The following is a 26,701-nucleotide window of genomic DNA, read 5'->3' as shown; positions in this document are numbered from 1 at the left end:
ACCAAGCTCTCTTCCACTAGGTTGCACACTTCTTGTTAAATGTTATATTGTACACTTCTAGCACATACCTGGCACACAGTAAATGCTTAGGAAATGTCTGTGAAAAGCAATCAGGTAGGCTAGTGGGGCAAGAAATAGACCAGCACTTGCTGAACTCTAACTAGGAGTCAGGATACCTTGTGTTTGCCCTCTCTGTACCAAGACTGTAGGGAACGATAGAATAAGTACCATAACTCTGAGACTTTTTCCCACCTCAGCCCTTGCCTCAAGCGCTGACAACTCTGCCACTGTCCCCTGCAAAAAAGGTACCAAAACTCTGTCTCCAGCCATGAGCCCCAAGCAGTCCGTGATAGGTGTTGTTGAGCGGCTCACTTCTGCCACCTGGTGGTAGTAACAAGCCTTTCTTATTCTCCAGGGCAGTGGACCCAAGGGAAGGTCTTGTCTAGAAAAGAGTAGAAGAAGCTCTTTGCACACTGCCCTTTCCCCTGAGGGTTTTCTTTTTGTGGAATCCTTTCTCATTTGCAGCACGCCTTGACATTCCTGTTTTCCAATATGCTGAATTGGATAGAGTTAAGACCCTTAAAGATCCTAAGCTCGGAAAAGATTGTGGTGCGCACCTCTACCATGAGGGCTTCAAGACAGAAACAATACAAAAAGCTGTCCCGGCGCGGTGGCTCACGATTGTAATCCCAGCACTTTGGGAGCCCGAGGCGGGCGGATCATCTGAGGCCAAGAGTTCGAGACCAACATGGCGAAACCCACGTCTCTACTAAAAATACGGAAAAAAATTAGCTGGGCATGGTGGCGCGCGCCTGTCATCTCAGCTATTCAGGAGGCTGAGGCAGGAGAATAGCTTGAACCCGGGAGGTGGAGGTTGCAGTGAGCTGAGATGGTGCTACTGCATTCCAGCCTGGGCAACGAGAGCAAAACTCCCTCTCAAAGAAAAACAAAACAAAACAAAAAAGGGCCGGGCGCGATGGCTCATGCCTGTAATCTCAGCATTTTGGGAGGCCGAGGCGGGCGTATCACGAGGTCAAGAAATCGAGACCATCCTGGCCAACATGGTGAAACCTCATCTCTACTAAAAAAAATACAAAAATTAGCTGGGCGTGGTGGCGCACCGCTGTAGTCCCAGCTACTCGGGAGGCTGAGGCAGGAGAATTGCTTGAACCCGGGAGGCGGAATTTGCAGTTGGCAGAGATTCCGCCACTGCACTCCAGCCTGGGCGACAGAGAGAGACTCCGTCTCAAAAAAAAAAAAAAAAAAAAAGAATCAGGCCCCCACCCACTGCAAGCTCCGCCTCCTGGGTTCACGCCATTCTCCTGCCTCAGCCTCCCGGGTCGCTGGGACTACAGGCGCCCGCCACCACACCCGGCTAATTTTTTTGTACTTTTAGTAGAGACGGGGTTTCTCCGTGTTAGCCAGGATGGTCTCGATCTCCTGACCTCGTGATCCGCCCGCCTCGGCCTCCCAAACTGCTGGGATTACAGGCGTGAACCACCGCGCCCGGCCTCCCTGCCCACCTTCTTATCCCTCGCTCCCACCAACTCTAAGAAAACACATTTCAGGCTGGGCGACGTGGCTCACGCCTGTAATCCCAACGCTTTGGGAGGCCGAGGCGGGTGAATCACCTGAGGTCGGGAGTTTGAGTCCAGCCTGACCTACATGGAGAAACCCCATCTCTACTAAAAATACAAAATTAGCCAGGCGTGGTGGCACATGCCTGTAATCCCAGCTACTCAGGAGGCTGAGGCAGAAGAATCGCTTGAACCCAGGAGGTGGAGGTTGTGGTGAGCCGAGATCACGCCATTGCACTCCAGCCTGGGCAAAAAGAGTGAAACTCCGTCTCAAAAAAAAAAGAAAATAAAATAAAACATATTTCACCTTCAAAGAAGGATCCTAAAATGGTAATCTCTCTCATTTGTTGAATACTGTTTTTTTAAATGAGTTTCATTAAGAATAGCCATCTTGACTTTTGTCAAATGTCTTCTTAGCATCCATTGAATTGATGATATGATTTTTCTTTTCTTTTATTTATTTATTTTTTTTGGAGATGGAGTCTCGCTCTATCCCCCAGGCTGGAGTGCAGTGGTGTGATCTCAGCTCACTGCAACCTCTGCCTCCCAGGTTCAAGCGATTCTCCTTGAGAAGATTAGCTGGGATTACAGGTGCCTGCCACCATGCCCAGCTAATTTTTGTGTTTTTAGTAGAGATGGGGTTTTGCAATGTTGGCCGGGCTGGTCTCGAACTCCTGACCTCAGGTGATCCACCTGCCTCAGCCTCCTGAAGTGCTGGGATTACAGGCATGAGCCATCACGCCTGATTGATTTTTCTTGTTTAACATATTAATGTGTTCTTTTTATTTAATTTATTTATTTATGTATTTATTTTGAGATGGAGTATCACTCTTGTCACCCAGGCTGGAGTGCAGTGGTGCGATCTGGGCTCACTGCAATCTTCACCTCCTGGGTTCAAACAATTCTCCTGCCTCAGCCTCCTGAGTAGCTGGGATTACAGGTGCTCACCACCAAGCCTGGCTAATTTTTGTACTTTTGGTAGAGATGGGGTTTCACCATGTTGGCCAGGCTGGTCTCGAACTCCTGACCTCAAGTGATCCGCTCGCCTGGGCCTCCCAAAGTGCTGGGATCATAGGCCTGAGCCACCGTGCCTGGCCTATTTTTATTTTTATTTATTTATTTATTTTGAAACGGAGTCTCGCTCTGTTGCCCAGACTGGGAGTGCAGTGGCGCAATCTCGGCTCACTGCAAGCCCCGCCTCCCGGGTTCACGCCATTCTCCTGCCTCAGCCTCCCGAGTAGCTGGGACTACAGGCGCCCACTGCCATGCCTGGCTAATTTTTTTGTATTTTTAGTACAGACAGGGCTTCACTGTGTTAGCCAGGATGGTCTCGATCTCCTGACCTCATGATCCGCCCGTCTCGGCCTCCTAAAGTGCTGGGATTACAGGCATGAGCCACCGCGCCCAGCCCTATTTTTATTTTTTAAGACAGAGTCTTACTGTGTCACCCAGGCTGGAGTGCAGCGGTGCAATCTTGGCTCACTGCACCCTTCGCCTCCTGGGTTCGAGCGATTCTCCTGCCTCAGCCTCTTTTTTTTTTTGAGACGGAGGCTTGCTCTGTCTCCCAGGCTGGAGTGCAGTGGAGCCATCTCCGCTCACTGCAAGCTCTGCCTCCTGGGTTCACGCCATTCTCCTGCCTCAGCCTCCCTAGTAGCTGGGACTACAGGTGCCCATCACCACGCCCGGCTAATTTTTTTTATTTTTTTTAGTAGAGACAGTATTTCACCATGTTAGCCAGGATGGTCTCGATCTCCTGACCTCGTGATCCGCCCGTCTTGGCCTCCCAAAGCGCTGGGATTAAAGGCATGAGCCACCGCACCCGGCCTACCTCAGCCTCTTGAGTAGCTGGGACTACAGGTGTGTGCTAACATGCCTGAATAATTTTTGTATTTTTATTAGAGACAGGGTTTCACTATGTTGGCCAGGCTGGTCTCGAACTTCTGACCTCAGGTGATCCACCCACCTCGGCCTCCTAAAGTGCTGGGATTACAGCCGTGAGCCACCACACCTGGCCTAATGTGTTCTTTTTTTTTTTTTTTTTTTTTTTTTTTTTTTTTTTGAGATGGAGTTTCGCTCTTGTTGCCCAGGCTGGAGTGCAATGGCAGGATCTCGGCTCACCACAACCTCCACCTCCCAGGTTCAAGCAATTCTCCTGCCTCAGCCTCCCGAGTAGCTGGGATTACAGGCATGCACCACCATGCCCGGCTAATTTTGTATTTTTAGTAGAGACGGGGTTTCTCCATGTTGAGGCTGTTCTCGAACTCCTGACCTCAGGTCATCTGCCCGCCTCGGCCTCCCAAAGTGCTGGGATTACAGGCGTCAGCCACCGTGCCCGGCCGAGGTGTTCTTTATTAACTAATTCCATTCATTCCTGCGGTAAATCAGAAAGGGACCTTAGAGATCATGGAGACTAGTGGTTCTCAATTAGACATAGCCAAATTACTATTTCTTTTTTTTTTTTTTAAGAGATGGCCTTCTCAGAGATTGCAGTAAGCTAAGATTGCGCCACTGCACCCCAGCCTGGGTGATCTGTCTCAAAAAAAAAAAAAATGTCATGTTGTACAGGCTGGTCTAGAACTCCTGGCCTCAAGCCATCCTCGTAACTCAACCTCCTGAGTAGCTGGGATTACACGTACATGCCACCATGCCCGGCAAATTCCTTCATTTTTGAATGAGGAAATAGAGGCATTGAGAAGTAAAGTGAGTCATCTATGCCTTCAAATATGGTCCCTAGTTTTTTCTTTTTTCTTTTCTTTCTTTCTTTTTGTGTGTGTGTGTGTGTGTGTGTGTGTGTGTGTGTGTGTGTGTGTTTGAGACGGAGTCTTTCTCTTGTCATCCAGGCTGGAGGCTGGAGTGCAATGGCGTGATCTTGGCTCACTTCAACCTCTGCTTCCTGAGTTCAAGCAAGTGTCCTGCCTCAGGCTCCTGAGTAGCTGGGATTACAGGCACTCACCACCAAGCCTGGCTAATTATTTTGTGTTTTTAGTAGAGATGGGGTTTCACCATGTTGGCCAGGCTGGTCTCAAACTCCTGACCTCAGGTAATCTGCCCAACTTGGCTTTCCAAAGTGCTGGGATTACAGGCGGGAGCCATTGTGCCTGGCCCCTAGTTTTCTCCTGTATCTCTTTTCCCTAACCACACTACTAAATTCCTAAAGAGCAAGGACTGAGGGTTGTATACAGCATTTTCTCTACAGTGTTTCACCCAAGAGGCCACTCAATAAATGCCATTGACTACCAAATTGACGAATTAGTCTTTTGTATTGGAGCTAGAGCAAAAAGTTACAAGCTAAAAGGAAGATAGACGATGATGGTTATACCACATAAAGGACTTCTGGGCAAGGCATGGTGGGTTATGCTTGTAATCCCAGCACTTTGGGAGGCCGAGGTGGGAGGATGGCTTGAGCCCAGGAGTTCAAGACCAGCTGGAGAACATAGGGAGACCCTGTCTCTATAAAAATATAAATAAATAAATAAATAAATAAATAACTTCTGGATAGTTGGAGGCAAACCATTAAATATGTGAGTAAAGATGGCTTGACGTGTTGCCACCCCAGGTGAGCTTGGGAAAGGAAGATATACCTTCTAACTGGGCCACAAAACTGAAGAAAGAACACAAGGACTTTTGGCCATCCTGATTAGCTTTGGTTCTTATGATTATATAGTCAGTCCCTCATCCGTTTGTGGTAACCATGCATCCCAGATTTTCTGGAACTTTCCAATTTCAAATATTTCCCTAAACCAGTAATATGTTCCAGGAAAGAGAAGACTATGTATCTCCATCCTCAGCTTTTCCATAGTTCTGTCCCATAGTGTATCCATGCACAAATCTGTGCCCTTTCTAGCAAAAGACAAATGAGGGATGTAAAAATTAGGGTCTTCAGGCCGGTCGTGGTGGCTCAGACCTGTAATCCCAGCACTTGGGAGGCCCAGGCGGGCAGATCACAAGGTCAGGAGATGGAGACCATCCTGGTTAACATGGTGAAACCCCGTCTCTGGTAAAAATACAAAAAAAAAAATTAGCCAGGAGTGGTGGTGGGCGCCTGTAGTCCCAGCTACTCGGGAGGCTGAGGCAGGAGAATGGCATGAACCTGGGAGGTGGAGCTTGCAGTGAGCCGAGATCGTGCCACTGCACTCCAGCCTGGGTGACAGAGCGAGACTCCGTCTCAAAAAATAAATAAATAATAAAAATAATAATACAAATACAAAAAATTAGCCGGGCCTGCTGGCGGGCGCCTGTAGTCCCAGCTACTCGGGAGGCTGAGGCAGGAGAATGGTGTGAACCCGGGAGGCGGATCTTGCAGTGAGCCAAGATCGTGCCACTGCACTCCAGCCTGGGCGACAGAGCGAGACTCCGTCTAAAAAAAAAAAAAATTAGGGTCTTCAGGGCCAGGCGTGGTGGCTCACACCTGTAATCCCAGCACTTTGGGAGGCCAAGGTGGGTGGATAACCTGAGGTCAGGAGTTCGACACCAGCCTGGCCAACATAGTGAAACCCCATCTCTACTAAAAATACAAAAATTAGCCAGGAGTGGTGGCGCACGCCTGTAGTCCCACCTACTCGGGAGGCTGAGGTAGGAGGATCGCTTGAACCCAGGAGGCAGAGGTTGCAGTGAGCTGAGATCATGCCACTGCACTCCAGCCTGGGTGACAGAGCAAGACTCCGTCTAAAAAAAAAAAAAAGTAGGGTGTTGTACTGGAAATGTGATGGGCAGAAGATAATATGGTTGAAGAATGGGCTAAGCTGGGGGCATAATCCCTACCCTCTTCTTCTCAATCACCAAGACTGAGATAGAAGAGATCAGGAGGAGCAGTGCTGGGGCAGTATGTCACCAGTAAGGCCACAAAATCCCCAGGGTTACTCTCTGTCTCCAGGAGTTACTCTGGTGTTCTCCTTCCTCCTCTAGGCTCCCAGAGCTCCCTGCAGCTGCACACATTCTTCCCCTTTCTTTGTCCCTTGGCTGCCATGAGCGAGCCCACTAGACATCATATGCATCTTCTCCAAGAATCTGGAAGCAACTAGAAAGTGCTCTGAAGGTAGCACTTGAGAAGAAGCTCCCACAGCCTTCCTCTACCCCAGTTCCCAGGATCCTGGAGAGATGATGGGTTAGGCAGGCCTGAGTGCCATCTAGAATTGGAATGGGATGGTTGGTGGGTGTTGTCTGGCAGGGCACATTAGATGTCTCTGTCTGTCTCCTCTGTTAATTGAGGTCCTTCTGCTATCCTGTGCCAATGTTCTTGGATTCCTAAGGTCTCCTTATCTGGCAAGAAAGGCCTTAGGGTCCTTTAGAGGGCCAGGTAGAGAGAGAGGGTGATCATCTACGGGTGTGTTAACTTCTTCTAAGACCTGGCCTCTGTGGTTCATGTGTCCCCATGAATGCCCATGGTGTGACTATGACATGTGGTGTGTGCCTGTGTCAGCCTCTGTGTGTCAGGGCAGGGGCTCCTGTGGTGTGCCTATGTGTTGGGAGGGGGTGATGGTGAGAGCCTGGCTCCCTCTCCTCCTCCCCCATCCCTTCTCCCATCTGGCCTTGATCAGCCGGTCCCTAGGGAGGGAGCCGCGGTTTCGGATACAGGAAAATGTTCCAGGAAGCGGCCACTGTGCTGGGCCCTGCTCTGGCTCCCCCAGCGGAAATTGTTCCAGGAGGGAGGGAGGAAGGGAGTGTTGAGATAGGATTAAGGGAGGAGTGGGTTGGTTCTTGGCTCCCCTTTCCACAGGATAAAGCTGGATAAGTTGATGGGAAGCTCAGGTCAGCCAGGAACCTGGATGCTGCCACTGAAATCACTGAATGCAGGAAAATGGGCCAGCAAAAGAGGGTCCCCTTGCCTATCTGCTTCTCTTTTTAATGAAGTTTCAGTATTGGGACGAGGGTGGCCCCTGAGGGTCCCTCTTCTGGCCCTGCTATCATGTACACAAGCTGGAGACCAGAGCACCTGGGTCTTGTCTGAAAGTGGTGTGGCTTGGTGGGGAGGTAGGGGGCATACGATTCAGCTCCCTTTTCTCCCAACTGAGGGGGCTTTGAAGCTTGGATCCAGGACTGGGAGGGCTGCCTAATTGGGATAATGGAGGTTAATGGGGCGCCTGGAGGGGGTTGCCACGCTCCTAGATCAAAGGGGCCAGCTCTTCCCAGCCACCACAGCTGGAGGTCACAGCTGGAGGGGGAGGGGGAGGGGCTTCGGGCCAGCCAGCAGGGGGTGCTCCGGCCCTGGAAAGCCCGTCCTCTGAGTCTCTGATTCTCTTCTTCGCTTGGAACGGCTTTTGCTTAGAGAGTGCATTGGGGAGCGGAGGATAAGAGAATGGGGGAGCTCTGAGATCCCTACTCCTCTCTGTGTGGGGTGATGGGGAAGAGAAAGGGCATGAGAGACTGGCAGGCTGGGGGCCAACGGGATGTTGGCACCGTCGGGACCTCGGGCACTGCAAGATCCGGAGGAAGAAGCTTGGATGCAGCCTCGAGAAAGCTACGGCGGAAGAGGCAGGACTCCGGTCCTGGGTTCGGGCGGCTGAGAAAGGACTGGGCCGGGCAGCGGGGGGCGCTGGCTGGGCGGAGGCGAAGGGGCATCCGGAGTTCCCCCGCCGCCGCCCCCTCCCCCGGGCTGGCGCTCCCTCTCGGGCTCTAATCGGCGCGGCGGCCGCAGCGGGCAGAGTCAGCGCCGCCAGTCTCCGGGACGCGACTCCCAGCAATTGTGGTCGGGACCGCAGATATGCAGCTGCCTCCTGCCCGGGCGCCTGGCCCGGCCGGCCCCGCCCGCGCCCCGCCCCCTGCCGCCCGCCCCTCGGCCGCGCCGGGACACTGAGGCACGGGATGGAGGCGAGATCCCCGGCGGCCCTGAGCCTGGCCTAGGCCGCAAGAGACCTCCCAGCAGCCCCGGAGCTCACGACCTGTCCTGTCCTTCTGAGGGTGCCTATCTCCCCCACAGCTGTGGCTGGGGGCTAAGACCCCCCAAATCCTGCCTCAGCTTCAACCGTCCTTCTTGCCTCACACGTCCACGCGAGGTGGGGGTGGATGGGGGCATTGAACAGCGCTTTGAAATCCAGAGGGGGGCGTCCCATTGAGGCTATGTGGGGAGGAGGTGTTAATGTTGGTAGCTGAGTCCCAAGGACCTTCATTAACTGAGGCGGTGGAAAGTGGGCCTAGGTAGGCTTATAACTTACAGCGGGTTCCTATGTAGGGGAGGTGATGGAAGGTGGGGAGAGGGAGAAATGGGTGAAAAGGGGGAAAGGAAATAGTTCAGGAGGGATTGGGGCAGAGGGCAGAGGCGGGGGTTCTTCTGGGAGACTGAGGGCCAGGTCCTCAGATACTGCCCTGGCCCTTCACTGTTGGCCGGATCCAGCAACTGTCAAGAGCCATTCTCAGAACTGAATAGATACCTCTAAAATGCCTGCATATCCTGTGTGCAAGTGCACACATCAACACACAGATCAAGGGAAGTCATGTGTGACTACTCACCCCTCACATCTGATTGGACACCAAATCCTCTCCACCTCACATCCTCAATATCACCCCTTCATTGACTTATTTTTTTATTTTTTTTTTTCTTGAGACAGAGTCTGGCTCTGTCGCCCAGGCTGCAGAGCAGTGGCACAATCTCAGCTCACTGCAACCTCCGCCTCCCAGGCTCAAGAGATTCTCATGTCTCAGCCTCCCAAGTAGCTGGGATTACAGGCATGTGCCAAAAATTGGCACAGCCAATTTTTGTATTTTTAGTAGAGAAGGGGTTTCACCATGTTGGCCAGGCTGGTCTCAAACTCCTGGGCTCAAGTGATCTGCCCGCCTTGGCCTTTCAAAGTGCTGGTATGTGCCACCGTGCTGGCCCCCTCCACTGACTTCTGCTCATCCTCTCTGCTACTGCAGGCCACACCTTCCCACATCTTGCTTGGACTGCTGCAACAGATTGTTTCCTTGCCTCCGATTTTGCCCTTCTCCCAACTGTGACAATACTGCTAGGCACCATTTATGGAGCAACTACTAAGTGCCAGACACTGTGCTAAGAACTCAACACTTTTTATTGCTAATCCTTGTAACAACCCTGGGAGGTTACCATATTAAGTTGCCCCTTTCAACAGGAGAGGAATCTTAGGCCTCAAAGGTTAAATAGCTCACCCAAGCTTGCACCATTGTAAATGCCTGATTTACCCAGAACCGCCTGGCTCTAAGCCCTTATTTCATTCTCCTCTCTGAAGTCAGTCATTTCTCTAATATACGAGTATTCTCATATATTGCCTTTGGATCAAGTCTAGGCCCCTTGCATAGCTGATTAGAACTTCTCCATCAGCCTCCACTCTGTGTTGCACTCACACTCAATTTTCAGCATCTCAAAAGTTGTTAATCCCTCATACCTCTGAGCCTTTGCATATACTCTTCCCCCTTCCTACAACACTCTTCCTTTTTTTTTTCTTTTAGACAAGGTCTCATTCTGTCACCCAGACTATGTTTTTTTTTTTTTGTATTTTTTGTAGAGATGGGGTTTCGTCATGTTGCCCAGGCTGGTCTCAAACTCCTAGACTCAAGTGATCCACCCACCTCAGCCTCCCAAAGTGCTGGGATTACAGGCATGAGCCACTGCACTGGCACCACTCTTCCTTTTTTTACTTGATAACTCTTATTTGTCCTTCAGTTTCTTTACTTAGTCATGCTGTCTTCCAGGAAGCCTTCCTTAATTCCCCCCCAACACTGGCTTAGATTTACTCTTTTGTCTCCTATAACATCCAGTACTTATTTTTTATTTTATTTTATTTTTATTATTTATTATTTATTTATTTATTTATTTTTTGAGACGGAGTCTCTCTGTGTCACCTAGGCTGGGATGCAGTGGCACAATCTTGGCTCACTGCAACCCCCGCCTCCCAGGTTCAAGCAATTCTCTGCCTCAGCCTCCCAAGTAGCTGGGATTACAGGCATCTGCCACCACATCTGGCTAATTTTTTTGTATTTTTAGTAGAGATGGGGTTTCACCATCTTGGCCAGGCTAGTCTCGAACTCCTGACCTTATGATCTACCCACCTTGGCCTCCTACAGTGTTGGAATTACAGGCGTGAGCCACCACGCCTGGCCCTCCAGTACTTATTCTATCGAGATACTTCCTACTCTTTTGTATTAGTTGCTGGTTAGTTTGTGAGGTGAAGGGATGAGTCTGTCTTGCTTGTTATTGCATGCCTAAGTCTAGCCCAGTGTGCTTAGCACAAAGTAGGTGCTTTCTGAACATTTGTTGAATGAAAGAATGTTCTTTAAGTTCATTCCACATTTCAAAAATCTGGGCTCCGAGGAAGAATGCAGCAGGCCAGAGAAAGCGGGGAGACGTGTGTATTTAGGAATTTTTTTTTTTTTAAATGGAGTCTCGCTTGTCTTCCAGGCTGGAGTGCAGTGGCACAATCTCGGCTCACTGCAATCTCTGCCTTCTGGGTTCAAGTGATTCTCCTACCTCAGCCTCCAGAGTAGCTGGGATTACAGGCACGCGCCACCACACCCAGCTAATTTTTGTATTTTTAGTAGAGACAGGGTTTGTTTGTTTGTTTTTTGTTTTTTTTTTTGAGACGGAGTCTCGCTCTGTCGCCCAGGCTGGGGTGCAGTGGCGCGATCTCGGCTCACTGCAAGCTCCACCTCCCGGTCACGCCATTCTTCTGCCTCAGCCTACCAAGTAGCTGGGACTACAGGCGCCCGCCACCACGCCCGGCTAATTTTTTGTATTTTTAGTAGAGACAGGGTTTCACCATGTTAGCCAGGATGGTCTCGATCTCCTGACCTCGTGATCCGCCCTCCTCAGCCTCTCAAAGTGCTGGGATTACAGGCATGAGCCACCTCGGCCAGCCTGAGACAGGGTTTTGCCATGTTGGCCACGCTAGTCTCAAACTTCTGACCTCAGGTGATCCACCCACCTCGGCCTCCCAAAGTGCTGGGATTACAGGTGTGAGCCACCTCACCAGGCCTGTATTTAGGATTTTGAAGGACCATTCCCTTGAGTTGCTCAGCCTCACTCCTAGGGATGATGTGATCAGAACTCCATCACCCCAACTTCTTCTTATGAAAGACACTAGTATATTTCATGGATCAGATTCTAGGGTATCGTTTTTACAAAGGGTCATTTTCTAGAGATGACCAGGTTCTTACTTAATTCAATGTTGTCCCATTTTAGACACGGGCATCCAGGACAGGTCCCCTTGTTTCAGAATCAGACCCCAGTCTTCCTCTTCCTTTCATTTTTCACTTTGTCCCCTGCCATCCAGATTCCTTCCTGCTCCTTCCATGGCACTTCTGTTTCTGATTCTGATCTGCCTCTCCTAAAGCTGCTGAATTATATCAGGGCTCAATGTCAATGAAGGAACCCAAGGCTCAGGGAAGAGGGGAGCCAGAGTCAGTCCCAGAGGTCCTGCCTTGCAGCCCTGGTGCTGGAAGAGGGGATGGGGAGACCTAGCAGAGAGGGAGGGAAGTTGTAGTCTGTCTGTACCTGTAAATTTGTGTACATATTTGTTGGGGTGAGGAACTCCTTTTCCAAGCTGTCCTATACAAAGGTTGCCAGCCTCTTAAAAGCTTCCTTTCTACCCTGTGTCCTCAGCTTTGCCTCCTAAAATTGGATCCTCTTCCCCAAGTACCCTGAGCCTAGTGTCAGAAATGCTGGGTCAAGGCACTCGGCAGTCTCTAAATCCTGAGGCCATGAATGGATGTTCCTTCAACCCAAGGAGCAAGCTTTCCTGGTCATCAGCCCCATTGCTCTTAGAGGACCCAACAGACTAGTAGCTGATCCTCAGGGTCTCTCATCTGTATGCCCACCATTTGTTGTTTCCTCTTTGTCTCTCCTGTGTCTTTCTGTTTCCCTGTCTCTGCGTGCCTTCTTCTTTCCTGTCCCCTCTATGTTCTCTGTCGCTGGAGTATCCACTGGAGACAAGGGCTGGGCTGGGTGCATGGGCGGGTAGTGGCCAGACCAGGGGCCCGGGACATGAGCGCAACTTTCCAAGCTTCTCTTCCAGGCCCCTGTGGTTGGGGAGCTCCACAGAGGGAGAGATGAGTCAGCGGGGCCGCAGAGCAGCGGGGGCCTGGGTGGGGGTAGGGATGCTGGGGTTCCCCAGGACCAGGGAGTTCGCTGGGGCCATCTGGGTCTCTGAACTCTGGTGTGTGTGTGGAGTATTGGATCAAAAGTACCTAAAGGTACACTGGAACTTCTTATACTAGTAGGAGTTGGAGGCAGCAATTTGCAGGACTGGCAGTGGCCTCCATATCACCCTTATCTCCAGATCCTTATAGGGAGAGGGGTTCCCAAATGCCCTTTAGGAGACCACAGAGATCTCCAGGGCTGTAAAGTTGTAATGGTAGCCCTGGGTATATGTATGTGACATTTGCCACATGTGTAGATACGTGTGTTGATGGGAGTCTGTGAGTCCATGTGGGGAGTATTCTAGGTGGCTGTGAGTCTGTATGCATGTATATATATACTGGTGTGTGCATTTTTATGATTGGGGGTTAGGGTGTCTTGGGGTAAGCATTATCTGTATATGTATATATCAGTGTGTGTCAATATGGATGCCTGCATAGTACAAATGTGTATGAATTATGTGTCACCTTGTGTGTGTGCAAGTATGCAGATCTGAATGTGTCTGTCATCAGGTATGTATTAGGGCATGTGTCAGTCTCTATTTCAGGGGCTCTGCTCACTATTCTCTGGTGATTCTCCCTAGGGTAGTCAAACCTTCTATAACAGCAACAATGAAGAGTTGGGAGTCCCTTTGGATGAGGCTCTTAGAGACAGCCCAGCCTAGAAAGGTGGTAGAGGGTGATGGTGTGGACGATGGAAGTAGCATCCCTTGGGAATAGGGGGTACAGGTCTCCCACTCTCCCCAGTTTTTTTTTTCTTTCTTTTTTTTTTTTTTTGAGATGGAGTTTTGTTCTTGTTGCCCAGGCTGGAGTGCAATGGCATGATCTCAGCTCACTGCAATCTCCACCTCCTGGGTTCAAGTGATTCTACTGCCTCAGCCTCCCAAGTAGCTGGGATTACAGGCACCCGTCACCACGCTCAGCTGATTTTTGTATTTTTAGTAGAGACGGGGTTTCACCATGTTGGCCAGGCTGTCTCAAACTCCTGACCTCAGGTGATCCACCCACCTTGGCCTCCCAAAGCGCTGGGATTACCGGCGTGAGCCACTGCACCCGGCCCCACTCTCCCCAGTTTTCATTCTGTTTTCACCCCACTGATCTTTCCAAAAAGATCCAAAATCATTTGGAGAACTGAGGCAGGTGCCAGATTCAACCCCCTCTAACCTACAAAGCCCACCCTGATTCTCCTAGGGGAGGGTGGGAAGGGAATGGTTCCTGTGGTTCAGCCCAGTCCTGGCATTGGGATATCAGAAAGGCATCATCCCACCCCTTCCGTCTGGGGCATCCATCCCTTGGAGCTCAGCGTCTGGGTGGCCATGGGCGGAGGCTGAGGGGCCCCCAGGGTGGTGGGGGGTGGTGGATAGAAACCAGATGCCTAGGGGGTTTATACTGGAAGGACCAGAGCCGCAGCCTCTACCCGCCCCTGCCACATGGCGCCTCTCCCTGGTCTGCCCCACCCCCTGGGAGGCTGGGCTGAGGGAGGCCTGAGAGGGTGGAGGTAGGTCCTTGGTTAGGGCTTCCAATTGCTGCCCCCAGCCCCTCAGGGCACTGGGAAGGAGACTGGGGAGCTGGACCCAGGAACACCAGAGCCTCAGCTGGGCTGCAGGACTATTTTTAAAAAGGACATGGAGAAGTCAGAACCCAGGGGTTCCTGAGGGCAGCAGCTGGGGGATTCAGGCAGCCCCTCTGCCTATCTTTGGCGCTGATCTCTGGTGGGGAAGAGGCTCTGTGTCCAGAGGGTGTCCTATGTTGACACATCGGGGCACTGGCTCACATCTTCCTGGGACTCTGCTCCTCCTTTTTATTTCTCCGAGAATAGTAGGGTTCGAATAGAGAATAGTAGGGTTTGAATACGTCTGCCCCTTCCCGGGTAGGGTTAGGGATTAAAGCCCACACGGGGAGTGAGAAGGTGACCCTTCCTTCCAACTCCTCTCCCCAGCCCTGTCTGTCCATTTATCTTTCCATCCTTCCTCCTTTTCCCCTTCAGTTTCTTCCTTTCTTCTCTCATCTAATCTGAGTCCCAACCCCCTCCTCACCTGCTATCTCTTCTTTAGAATCTAGACTTTCTCCTCCTCTGCCTCAGTTTCCTGCCTGATCTAACTGGGTCGGGCTTTTCTGCTGGTGATACAGGAATTTCTCTAAAGCTTCTCTTTCTCAACTTCTGAGTTCGGGGCCCCGGAAAGCCATCTGGCACCTCAGTCTCAGACTCCCCCCCAACAAGGGGGAGACCGCGAGGTCACAGGGACACCCCACCACGGGCACTTCCTCTCAGGCAGACGGGTGGGGTGGCCCGTGTAATCAGCGGACACAATTATGTGCTATTTATACTCCTTCCCCGCCCCCCCACCTGCCTGGCAACACAACCCTCCTCCTCCTCCTCCTCCTCCTCCTCCTCCGGACCTGGCTATGCCTCAGGCTATTTTCTCTGTCCTTCCCAAGCCATTGTCTCCCCATCTTTGTTCCTCTGGGCCTGTTTCTTTATCTTTTTAGTTTCTTTCCTGCTCTGTTTTTTGTTGTTGTTGTTGTTGTTGTTTAAAGCCACACATCTGGTCTTCTGTTTTCCTGTTTCCTCTCTCTTATACCTGGTGATATCTCTTCTGATTGTCTTGGACTCTTTCATTTGCTCTGTTTCTTCTTTTGCTGCTTTCTCTTTGTCTATCAGCCACCTGGTTCCCAAACCCTTCCCCTAAACCTTGGGTTCCCAGAGTTCCTTGAGGTAAATCAAATCATGGGGCTAGAATCCAGAACTCCTGGGCCCTACCCTGAAATTGGTGCCTACCTGCTGGCGAAACTGCTGTGCAACCCTCCGTGGACCTCCATCTGCTCCTGCCACCTCCCAGCTTTTTCTTTGGAGATCTGGGAGAGCAAAAGGAGCAAGGAATTGGGCACTCCGAGAAAGTGAGGGGATGGTGTTGCAGAGTGAGGAGAGTGGAAAGGATGGGGCTTTATTCCCCTGACAGGGAGAGCTGGGAGGGGGAGAAGTGTGTGTTAAGGAATAACCTGTAAAACAACCCCAGCGGGCTAAGCCCCCCTGTGGGAGAGCTGCCGGTGTCACCACTTAGCTGCCCAGTCCTCTCTCCCATAAATACCTCAGGGCCCATGGCCCAGGTTTCAGGTAATAGACTTTTTGGGTTTCCCTCCTAACCTGGCTGCCCTTCCTTCTCTTACTTCCTATTTTGTTGGGAAGTCCTTATTAAGTTCTAACTTCAGTTCTTTCTGTGGAAGAGGGAATTGATGCATGGCAATGAGAAAGGGAACCAGGAGTTCCCAGGAAAGTCAGATCACTCTGGAGAACTGTCCACCAAAGGATGGAGATTAAACCCATGGTCTCTAAGAGATGGTAACTTGGTTACCCAGGGATGGTAACTGACAAGGAATATGGAGGTTAGGGCATTTCTTTTTGGGGGAAATAATCCAAAGAGGTTAGGTGTCGGCATGAATGAGTTGACCCAATGACCTTCTACCGCCACCCTCACTCCTGCTTGTCTTAAATTTTCTCTTCATCAGAAGATCCAGGTTCTGCCCCACAAAGTGAGGTAGGCCTAGGTATCACCTCCAAACAGTGAAACTGAGGCACTGGGAGGAAGACTGAGGGACCCCCAAGCCAATACCAAGCCTTCCCCAACTCTTCAACCCTTCCTCCAGGCCTTGCTCTGGAACCAACCTCAGTGACACTAAAAGTTTAGGCAGCAGAAACCTCCACCTCAGAACCTTCCATGCCTCTTCCCACAACATACACACACACACACACACACGGGCACGTACACACACACAGGGGCACATACACACTGCTCTCCTGATCTAGAGGCAGGTGGGTGACTGGGGAAGCAAGCCTCTCCATGGTCAGCTGGGGCGGGTGTGGTGCGTGTGCCTCCAGTGCGTCACTGTGTGCATTTGTGTGTGTCCGTCTGTGTTCATTCATGATAGTGGCTGTACCCATGTGAGTGGTACTGTGTGTACGTGTGCATGCATCACCCCTGTGTTTGGCCATGAGTGTGTATGTCAGTGCGTTCCAGTCTCTCTGTGTGAGTGTCGTCCCCAACCCCCCATCCCCCCCCTGGATCTCTAATTAGTGGTTTGGGGTTTGTTCCTTTTCCCTCCTGTTCCTTCCCTCAGCAGCGGCGGGCGGCAGCAGCCTAGGCAGCAGCAGTAGCAGAAGCAGCAGCCGCCGAGCAGCAGCAAGGACTCTGGAGTCAGAGTAGGACTGTAGGACCGGAGCCTGAGTGGAACAGGAGTGGAGCTGGCCTGGGAGAGAGCGGATCCCTCCCAGCACCCTCAGGCCACCCGTTGCCTGCACTCTCCCTGCCAGACCTCCAGAGAGGAGAGACTCGGGACAGCCAGCCCCAGGTTCCCCCAGGTACATGACACTGGGGAGCTCTGGGAGGGGTGCCCACAGATGCCTATGGGACTGCTGCCGCGTGTAGGACACCGGGGTCCACCATCCCTTTAACCTCTCCCCTCAGCAGCCCCCCGAGGAAGCCCTGACAACTTGCCCATGCTGCTCTCCCCTCTTCCTGCTTCCCACCCCTTCCATGGGCGCCCCTTTTTCTCCTCTCCCTCCCTGATCCCTTCTTTGGGGAGCTCAGCAAATGGAGCAGGAAATTTGGACCCTCTGCCTCCCTCTCTCGCCCTCCTCATTGGATCTGGAGCCTTCTCCGCTGGGAAAGCTGTAATTAGAGGGTGGATCCCTACAGACAGAGAGCAGCCCCCCACCCCGGTCCCTTCTAACTTTAGATCTCTTCTCTCCCATTCTCCCATTCTCCCTCCCTCTCCCTTTTCTCTCTCTACCCCCCCCACCCCCCGGCTCAGCTCTCTCCATCTGCCTGGCTCCTTGGGACCCGTTCCCCAGCCTCAGGATGGCGTCCTCCCTGCTTGAGGTAACTGTCCCCTCTTCCCCCCAGGAAACCAGCCACAACCTTAATGGTCCTAGTCCTTGCCCACCCACCTCCTCCAACTCACATAGATAGTAGCTGTGGTGCTTGTCAATTCCAGGGGTCCTTCTGATGAGGAGAGAGGAGTGGGGTCCAAGAAAGGGGAAGCAGAGGGCAGGAGAAAAGGGAGGGAAGAATAGGGCCAGGGGTCAGAGGGCAGTGGAAAGAGGGTGAGAGGGGATTAGGTCAGAAGAAGGCATGGACCCCTACCTAAGGTCAGCTAAGCACACTGACTGTGAGGAGTGGAAAAGCGATGGAGAAAGGAGGGGGAGGGGGGCGAGGGGGAGTGAGGAGAGAGGGGTGGGAAATACATAAGCTGGCAGAAGAGATAGAAGGCAGAGAGGACTGGCTGAGTGGGCACAGAGCAGCAACTGGGTATAGCTCTTTAGGGGTCCCGTCTCCTGGGACTCGTAGCCCAGACAGGATCTTGCCTGGTTTTGTGGGGAGGGGGCTGGGCCCGTGAGCTGGTGTGTGGAGGAGAGGAGGTAGGCTATGAGAGAAAGGAGGAGGCCAGCCTGTGCCTGTGGGGGAGCTGACCAGGGGAACTGAGCCCAGGCCTGTGAGGGAACCAAGGAGGAGGGACGGGGTCTGAGGCCGCTTGCCCGGCTTACAAATATTTAGCTTTCAGCCAAAGACAAACTCAGCTCTATTTTGGGAGTGGGAGGCTCCAGGGCGGACTGGGCCACTTCCCCTCCGGGCTGGGACCCCAGCATCCCTTGCCTCTGGTGCTGGGGACAAAGGGAATTGGGGTACCACTGGGGTCAGGGTTTGGGGTCTTGAGAAATTTCTGACTCTACTCTGGCTTCTGGGGGACCCAAGGCACAGAGTTGGGAAGGCAGGGCTCACAGCCACTCAGGGCCAGATTCCTCCCTGCTTCTGGGTCTCTGACACTGTTCCTCTGTCACCATCTCTGTCCTGCTTTCTGGGTCTCTCTGCAGGAATTTAGGGCCAGAGGGCCCTCCCTGAAAGTCAGTCCCCTTCAGTAGCCTTGACTCTTCCCTATTCTTGGGTCCCACATCTCTCTTCCCAGTGCCCTAGCTCAGGCCCAGGGGTGCTGGGCCAAACAGGAAGCCAACTCACTCAACCTGTGGGAGAGGTGTGTGTTTGTGAGATGGGGCAGGAGTCTTTTAACACCTGTGTTCATTGGCCTGAGTGTAATCGTTAGGGTGCAGTCGAGGGTGCCACAGGCCCTGAGAGTGTGTGTGTGTGTGTGTGTGTGTGTGTGTGTGTGTGTGTGTGTAAGTTGGGCCATCTGAGTGCTGTGAGTCCAAGTGATAAATGGTGTGTGCACAAGGCTGTGAGATAGTGAATTTGTGGCTGAGTTTGGGGGAATAGCATGCAAGCCAACCAGATGGACACCACGTCCCTTGTCACACTCTGTATCCAGCCAGGGGTCTACCCGTAGCTGCAATGGGAGCAGACTGTCATCCTGCCACCTCCCCAACAGACTCTATTTTGAGCCATCATTGAAACACTGTGGTCTTGAGGAATAAGATGCATGGAAATCCTGGGTCCACCCAGGGCAGGGACAGTGTCAGTGGGCGTGGGCATCATGCCAGTGTTGCCAACGTGGCGCTGGTGGCTTGGGAGGGACTGGCCCAGAGGCCTGCTGGAAAGACATGGGATTGGGATAGTGCATGGCGAAAGGAGAGTGTTGTGGAAGCTAGACTTTCATGTCCCCTCACTCCTGTGAGCTGGAGATGCCTGCAACACGAAGGCACACCAGTCCCTCCTGTCCCTCGACCACTTGCACCTAGTTTTTGAGTACCTGGGCCCTCAACTTCCTCCCCACCTCCCCAGGAAGCCCTCCACCTTGTATGGGTGGGCTCTCTGGCAGTGGGAAGCAGCTGCTGCTTGATGGGGGGCTCACCTCGGCCAAGTGAGATTCAGGGGAACAGGGAAGGGGAAGAAATTGTTGGGGGCCTAGGTGGGAAAGGAGAATTGGGAAGCTGGGAAAACGAAGAAACTTGGGAGAAGGCTGAGAAAGTTGAGAACTGGAAAATGGGACCTTGACTGCTCCAAACCTAAGGCCAGTCAGCCCTGAGATGTCTAGTGAGCACTTCCGCTGGGAGGCCAGGCTGGGCACTGCACCATGAGCTCCCTGGGAGGAGGGGATCCCCCTCCCCTGCTCCACATCTGGGTGGGAGAGTTGGGACAGCTCCTATCTTGTTCTTTTTCCAAACACTCCCACTTCAATACTTTAATTCTGTTTGTCTTGTTTTGTTTTGTTTTAAGGGTGGTGGGGTGGAGGTCGGGAGGGAACAACTCGAAGGTGGGACTGCTGGGCCCTGGAAAGGGAACACATTTGATCAGGTATGGGGACACATGTTTAGAACTCTTAACCAGTGCTCTTTCCCCAAGTTCTCAGGAGAGAACAATCAGCAAGAGAAGGAAACTGAGGCTGTGGTGAAACTTAGCCACGTGCTCAGCCTGTAGCCCCCAGAGCATTCTGAGTGGGTCTGGTTCCTCGCTCCCCATTCCCTGCCCTCGAGGGCCCTCTGGGCCTCCACTCCCCAGGGCTGGGGTCTCCTGTTGGCCTGGGGCTGGCTGCCTTCTTTCACCCCTCCTTCCCTCCCCACAGCTGGGTGGGGTCCCTGGGCTTGGCTGAGGCCCCTGTGGCCGCAGTGTGAGGGCCGGGCGGGGGACGGCGTCGGCGTTTTTAAAAATAAACCGACCGCAGGGAAACCATCGGAGCCGGGCTGGGCAGAGGGAGAGGGGGCGGTCAGGGGGGAGAAGAAGGGAGGAGTGGCCTGGTCTGGGGGTTTTCTGGGGCCCAGCACCATGGTGGTTTTCTCTTAGGTAGGAAGGCCGCCTTCTTCCTCCTCCTCCCCCTTTTCTTTTTTCCACTCCTTTCTTTTCTTCTCTGCTTTCCTTTGCTTTTCTAGCCCAGTCTCTTTTCCATCATCTCTCCTTCTTAGTTTGTGTCTTTTTACCTTTCTGGTCTTTTAGGTCCCTGCCTATTTCTGCTTCTTTTTTGTTGTTGCTGTTGTTTTTGAGACAGGGTCTTGCTGTGTTGCCCAGGCTGCAGTGCAGTGGCACAATCATAGCTCACTGCAGCCTCTAACTACTTAGCTCAAGTGAGCTTCCCATCTCAGCCTCCTGAGGAGCTAGGACTACAGGCATGCACCACCAAGCCCAGCTAATTTTAAAATCTGTTATAGAAATGGGGTTTCACTATGTTGCCCAGGCTGGTCTCAAACTGCTGGCCTCAAGCAACCCTCCCCCACTTGGCCTCCCAAAGTGCTGGAATTATAGCTATTTCTGCTATTCAATGCCAATTTTTCCTCTCAGGTCCTCCTTCCCCCATTGCTATGGGTCTTTTTTGTCAATCCCTTACCCTATGCAGGTCCTTTGTGCCCCATATCTCTGGGTATCTGCCTCTCTGCTTTGAACTCCATGTTTCTACCTCTTCTTTCTGCTAGGATTTGACTCCTCCCCATCAGCTACCCTGCCATAGCTCACCCGCTGCTTGGAAGATCAGGGGTTCCCGGGAAACCCTGACTGGGGGAACCGTGAGTGTTCACTGTGGTTAGACTGGAGAAAACTTTTGGTGGCTCAGTTTGGGAGTCAACGGGACCTTAGAGAGAGGCAACTGTGCAGGAAGAGCAGCAGGTTTGCACTTGGGGTGTAGCGCAGAAGTGGGGACTGCACACATGCCTCATGGCAACCCCAGGGCCCCAGGCCCACCTCTCGGATTGGCATCGTACACATACTACATGCTAAGAGCTACCAGACAGGTGTGAGAACTCTGGATTCTTGAGTTCTTTTCTCAGCCTTACTGGGAAAGGATCAGGCCCATATGAGTTTATGAAGAACCCAATCCTCAAAACTGTTCTTCTAGCCCTTTCATACCCATATAACTGTATAGGGGTAGATTTTGAGGGCATCTTTTTTGGTGGGATTCCCAGCAATGAATGACCGTCTATGCCAGCCAGGGATGCTATAGGGCATTTCCTCCTTGGATGCCTCACCCAGGGAGAGGCACCATCAGGAACCATGAGTTCCTGAGAGGTAAAGATCTTGAGAGTGGTTTGGCCTGGTAGCAGCAGCATGGTGGGCATTAAGAAGATACCTTTGCCTTTCTTTTTTTTTTTTTTTTTTGAGATGGAGTCTTGCTCTGTAGCCTAGGCTGGAGTGCAGTGGCACCTTCTTGGCTCACTGCAACCTCCACCTCCCAGGTTCAAGCAATTCTCTGCCTCAGCCTCCCGAATAGCTGGGATTACAGGCGCCTGCCACCACACCCAGATAATTTTTTTATATTTTTAGTAGAGATGGGGTTTCACCATCTTGGCCAGGCTGGTTTTGAACTCCTGATCTAGTGATCCACCCACCTTAGCTTCCCAAAGTGCTGGGATTACAGGCGTGAGCCACCGCGCCTGGCTAGAAGATACCCTTGCATTTCTAAAAGACTCCCATATACTACATCCATGTCTTCCTTCATTCACAGTGCTAGAAGGACTACATGTTAGGGGACACTGAGGCATGAAGCAGTGTGGCTGTGGGCCAGTATCTTAGTTACCCCATTCCTTGCCTTGGAAGGGCATGACGACTTTGGGCTCTTACAGCCCTCTCAAAGGGGTACCAGCTGGCACCACAAAGCAGGAGGTGCTCACTGCCTGCTTGAAAGGCATTCTTGTCTCAGCCACAGTTTGGGCTTGGCGGCAGCCCTGTTCCCTCTCAATGTCCCAGTGTCTCCACCATCACTTCCTCTTGCTCTCCAGCCGGAGTCTCTGCCAAGAGATTCCTTAGCAGGGACATGAGGATTGGACCTCAGGGAGACAAGACCACTGCCTTAGTCAGGAGCTGAAGCAGCGACAGGAAATGGAATATCGGGTATGGGATGAAGCTGGGAAAATCTGTCATGGGAGCAAATATAGTCCCCTAATACTTTGACCTTCTCCCTACACTGCACTTTGAGCCTCATCTTTCCTCTCCAAGGCCCTGCCCATGGCCTCGATCTGCTCCAAACCTACTTCCAAGGGTCAGGATCCCCAATTCTCACTTCACCTAGCTGCTGTCTCTATCCCCAGTTCTTCTCACAGCCATTTAAAAAGAGCCCCTGGTGTGTGCCTGTAGTCCTAACTACTCTGGAGGCTGAGGGTGGAGGATCGCTTGGAGCCCAGAAAGAAGTTTGAGGCTACAGTGAGCTGTGATGGTGCTACTGCACTCCATCCAGCTTGGGAGACAGAGTGAGACCCTGTCTCTAAAAATATTTTTTTGGCTGGGTGCGGTGGCTCACACCTGTAATCTCAACACTTTGGGAGGTTGAGGTCAGGAGTTTTGGGTCACTTGAGGTCATCAGTTCAAGACCAGCCTGGCCAACATGGTGAAACTGCGTCTGTACTAAAAATACAAAATAGCTCAATGTGGTGGCGTGCGGCTGTAATCCCAGCTATGTGGGAGGCTGAGGCAGGAGAATTGCTTGAACCTGGGAGGCAAAGTTTGCAGTGAGCCGAGATTGGGCCACTGCATTCCAGCCTGGGTGACAGAACAAGACTTTGTCTCAAAAAATAATTTTTTTTTTAAATAAAAAGAAAAGGCCGGGCGCAGTGGCTCATGCCTGTAATTCCAGCACTTTGGGAGGCCGAGGTGGGCGGATCACCTGAGGTCAGGAGTTTGAGACCAGTCTGGTCAACATGGCAAAACCCTGTTTCTACTAAAAATACAAAAAAATTAGCCAGGTGTGGTGGTGGGTGCCTGTAATCCCAACTCCTCCGGAGGCTGAGGCAGGGGAATCTCTTGAACCCGGGAGGCGGAGGTTGCAGTGAGCCGAGGTCACACCATTGCACTCCAACCTGGGCGACAACAGCGAGACTCCATCTCAAAAAAAAAGAAAAAGAACCTCCTGTTCCTTGGAGGCCCCTAGTACACCCCTAGCAACTCCAGAATGAGCTCTGCTTCCTGCCTTCTGGGTTGGGATACTGAGCTGCAGTCTTGGGCCTCTGTTCTTCTTCCCACGACTCCATGAGTCTGCCCTGAGGTCCAGCCCTCACTGGCTAACCTCTTTTACCTGTAATTCTCCACCCTCTTCAACTCTTCCCTGACCCCTCTGTTCTGTTGTGGATGTCTCTAGGTCTCAGTCCTAAAGTGTTGCCCTTCATTTTGTACCTCTCCTCCCCTCTCCCTAAGCAGTGCGTCCCTCTTTCCACAGGAGGAAGTTCACTATGGCTCCAGTCCCCTGGCCATGCTGACGGCAGCGTGCAGCAAATTTGGTGGCTCTAGCCCTCTGCGGGACTCAACAACTCTGGGCAAAGCAGGCACAAAGAAGCCGTACTCTGTGGGCAGTGACCTTTCAGCCTCCAAAACCATGGGGGATGCTTATCCAGCCCCCTTTACAAGCACTAATGGGCTCCTTTCACCTGCAGGCAGTCCTCCAGCACCCACCTCAGGCTATGCTAATGATTACCCTCCCTTTTCCCACTCATTCCCTGGGCCCACAGGCACCCAGGACCCTGGGCTACTAGTGCCCAAGGGGCACAGCTCTTCTGACTGTCTGCCCAGTGTCTACACCTCTCTGGACATGACACACCCCTATGGCTCCTGGTACAAGGCAGGCATCCATGCAGGCATTTCACCAGGCCCAGGCAACACTCCTACTCCATGGTGGGATATGCACCCTGGAGGCAACTGGCTAGGTGGTGGGCAGGGCCAGGGTGATGGGCTGCAAGGGACACTGCCCACAGGTCCAGCTCAGCCTCCACTGAACCCCCAGCTGCCCACCTACCCATCTGACTTTGCTCCCCTTAATCCAGCCCCCTACCCAGCTCCCCACCTCTTGCAACCAGGGCCCCAGCATGTCTTGCCCCAAGATGTCTATAAACCCAAGGCAGTGGGAAATAGTGGGCAGCTAGAAGGGAGTGGTGGAGCCAAACCCCCACGGGGTGCAAGCACTGGGGGTAGTGGTGGATATGGGGGCAGTGGGGCAGGGCGCTCCTCCTGCGACTGCCCTAATTGCCAGGAGCTAGAGCGGCTGGGAGCAGCAGCGGCTGGGCTGCGGAAGAAGCCCATCCACAGCTGCCACATCCCTGGCTGCGGCAAGGTGTATGGCAAGGCTTCGCACCTGAAGGCCCACTTGCGCTGGCACACAGGCGAGAGGCCCTTCGTCTGCAACTGGCTCTTCTGCGGCAAGAGGTTCACTCGTTCGGATGAGCTGGAGCGTCATGTGCGCACTCACACCCGGGAGAAGAAGTTCACCTGCCTGCTCTGCTCCAAGCGCTTTACCCGAAGCGACCACCTGAGCAAACACCAGCGCACCCATGGAGAACCAGGCCCGGGTCCCCCTCCCAGTGGCCCCAAGGAGCTGGGGGAGGGCCGCAGCACGGGGGAAGAGGAGGCCAGTCAGACGCCCCGACCTTCTGCCTCGCCAGCAACCCCAGAGAAAGCCCCTGGAGGCAGCCCTGAGCAGAGCAACTTGCTGGAGATCTGAGCCGGGTGGAAGGTCTCCCACCCCAGGGCTGCCCTGACAGTCTCTCTTGGCTCTCTAGACCACTGCTTGCCAATCACTCTCTTTACCCCATGCATGCCATCCTTCGGGGCTCTCTCCCTCTGTCTCCCTCCTGGCCATTCTGGGCTTGGGTATCTCCTTGCATGCCTCCTCAGCTCACCTTCTCTCTTCACCATGAGACTGGCTTTCCACAAACTCTCATCTCAGGCCCTCCCCTTGTGCCTGATACCTGCACTCCGGCTTCCTAGACTCTGGCCCTGCCACACCAACACACTTTCTATTTGGGCTCCCAACACTATTTCTCCATCTCACTCCTTGACATGTACCCCTTTCTGCTTCTCAAGCTTATTTCCTGCTGTCCCTCAGCCTCCAGGCTTCAGTCTTCCCAACTTCTTACACCATTGCTTTCCATTCTCCAGAACTCTTTTTTCCTTTTTACAAACACAATGATAATGATAATTTATTGCCCCCTGGTGGCCTCTTCATCAGGGGTATTGGGGTTAGTGACCTGGCCAGAGGGTGCCAAGAGGGGGGCAGACCAGTGGGGATCTGATCCCAAAGATGGGGTGACCCCAGGGTCAGGGAGGCTGCCCCCAGGCCTGTATATTTAACCCCTATGTACCAGGAGTAATGAATAGTAATAATTCTATTTATGTAAGTTATGATGACGGGTCAGGTAGAGTGAGCTGGGGAGGGAAGTGGATCCATTTCTGCTAAGGAAATTCTAGTCAAATGCATCTCTGTATAGACAAAATGTTAGTGGAGAAGATCTTGTTAATAGAATGTCTATCATCAGAATCTCAGTTGATAGGGTTTCTCTTGTAATGAAGTCTCTACAAATTGGGTTAGCTACATCTCTGCTAAACAGTTGATGGGGTATCTCTTGATTAGGGGGATCCCTAATATCCCCAGCCCCAGCCAGAAGCTGTGAAACCTCAAGTCCTATGGAGGGGAGAAGGACTGGAATGTACCCCATCTCCCTTGACTGCAGAGCAGGTTCCTCCACTGCCCCACCCCTTAGACACCATGACCCCATCAGGTTAATCCCCTGTTGCCATGGTTATGGAGAGCTTGCAGCTGCCATCTTAGATGTGCTCTTTGGGGAAGCCCATCTAACAGGAGGACATTGGTTTGGGGGTGCACCTCCTGAAGAATGGGTGGGGAAGGCTTTCTCTAGGATCAGATTCAAATAAGTATGTATTGAGTGCCTACTCTGTGCAAGGCACTATGCTAGATCTGGTGCCTAGAAGCCCTGAGAAAGAACTTAAAGAGCTAGGAGGACAGAGGCCCCCAAGCTGATCTGGTGGTGCATCCACGCACCCCCACCCTGGGACTTTGGATGCTCCCATCTCCACCTCCAGTGACTTTTAAAGCCGCTTCGTGCCTTTCCTGTAACGTTGGATCCTCCTTTTCTGTCCCCTGCTGTCTCAAGGCCCCAAGTTAAAGGGTTAAAGCCGCTGGAGCTTGGGGAGAGAACATTGTGGAATGGAAGGGATCATGCCCTTTGTGGAGTCTTTTTTTTTTAATTTAATAAATAAAAGTTGGATTTGAAATTTTGTCCTGGTGAGAAAAGGAGAAGAGGAAGGGTGAAGCGAGGGCCAATGGTTTTTTTTCCTTAGCAAATTGGGGACTACTCATGGGCGAATATTCTATTGTGCACGTTTGCT

General features: G+C 52.3%; 1 protein-coding gene across 3 annotated transcripts, besides 5 other annotated features; it reads left to right on the top strand.

Annotated features, from left to right (window-relative positions):
* Positions 346 to 405: a silencer, noted in NCBI's record as "silent region_4507". NCBI's record gives its function as "represses an Ori minimal core promoter by ATAC-STARR-seq in GM12878 lymphoblastoid cells {active_cell/tissue: GM12878}" and the evidence as "EXISTENCE:reporter gene assay evidence [ECO:0000049][PMID:35858748]".
* Positions 7,681 to 7,740: a silencer, noted in NCBI's record as "silent region_4506". NCBI's record gives its function as "represses an Ori minimal core promoter by ATAC-STARR-seq in GM12878 lymphoblastoid cells {active_cell/tissue: GM12878}" and the evidence as "EXISTENCE:reporter gene assay evidence [ECO:0000049][PMID:35858748]".
* Positions 8,131 to 8,300: a silencer, noted in NCBI's record as "silent region_4505". NCBI's record gives its function as "represses an Ori minimal core promoter by ATAC-STARR-seq in GM12878 lymphoblastoid cells {active_cell/tissue: GM12878}" and the evidence as "EXISTENCE:reporter gene assay evidence [ECO:0000049][PMID:35858748]".
* Positions 8,369 to 26,587, top strand: SP7 (Sp7 transcription factor). Of its 3 annotated transcripts, none has more exons than NM_001300837.2 (3): positions 8,369 to 8,474; positions 16,779 to 17,016; positions 23,742 to 26,587. In NM_001300837.2, the coding sequence occupies exon 3, from the start codon at positions 23,775 to 23,777 to the stop codon at positions 25,014 to 25,016; it is 1,242 nt and encodes a 413-aa protein (NP_001287766.1). In that variant the 5' UTR covers positions 8,369 to 8,474; positions 16,779 to 17,016; positions 23,742 to 23,774; the 3' UTR covers positions 25,017 to 26,587. The 3 variants fall into 3 exon arrangements, with proteins under 3 accessions (NP_001287766.1, NP_001166938.1, NP_690599.1); NM_001173467.3 differs by lacking the exon at positions 8,369 to 8,474 and adding an exon at positions 17,469 to 17,536 and having other exon boundaries at positions 16,808 to 17,016; NM_152860.2 differs by lacking the exons at positions 8,369 to 8,474; positions 16,779 to 17,016 and adding an exon at positions 17,386 to 17,536.
* Positions 23,931 to 24,652: an enhancer, noted in NCBI's record as "H3K4me1 hESC enhancer chr12:53722294-53723015 (GRCh37/hg19 assembly coordinates)". NCBI's record gives its function as "activates a minimal SCP1, AML or CMV promoter by ChIP-STARR-seq in naive H9 embryonic stem cells {active_cell/tissue: H9 hESC(naive)}" and the evidence as "EXISTENCE:reporter gene assay evidence [ECO:0000049][PMID:30033119]".
* Positions 24,653 to 25,375: an enhancer, noted in NCBI's record as "H3K4me1 hESC enhancer chr12:53721571-53722293 (GRCh37/hg19 assembly coordinates)". NCBI's record gives its function as "activates a minimal SCP1, AML or CMV promoter by ChIP-STARR-seq in naive H9 embryonic stem cells {active_cell/tissue: H9 hESC(naive)}" and the evidence as "EXISTENCE:reporter gene assay evidence [ECO:0000049][PMID:30033119]".

This window comes from Homo sapiens, chromosome 12 (assembly GCF_000001405.40).
Source record: "Homo sapiens chromosome 12, GRCh38.p14 Primary Assembly".
NCBI classification, from domain to species: domain Eukaryota; kingdom Metazoa; phylum Chordata; class Mammalia; order Primates; family Hominidae; genus Homo; species Homo sapiens.
This window is presented reverse-complemented; position numbering and strand designations above follow the sequence as displayed.

Bases quoted from the DNA above. Each gene is read 5' to 3' on its own strand.
- SP7 (NM_001173467.3), top strand. From the start codon at position 17,516: ATGGCGTCCTCCCTGCTTGAG. The intron at 17,537-23,741 runs GTAACTGTCCCC...CTCTTTCCACAG, and splicing joins TGGCGTCCTCCCTGCTTGAG to GAGGAAGTTCACTATGGCTC.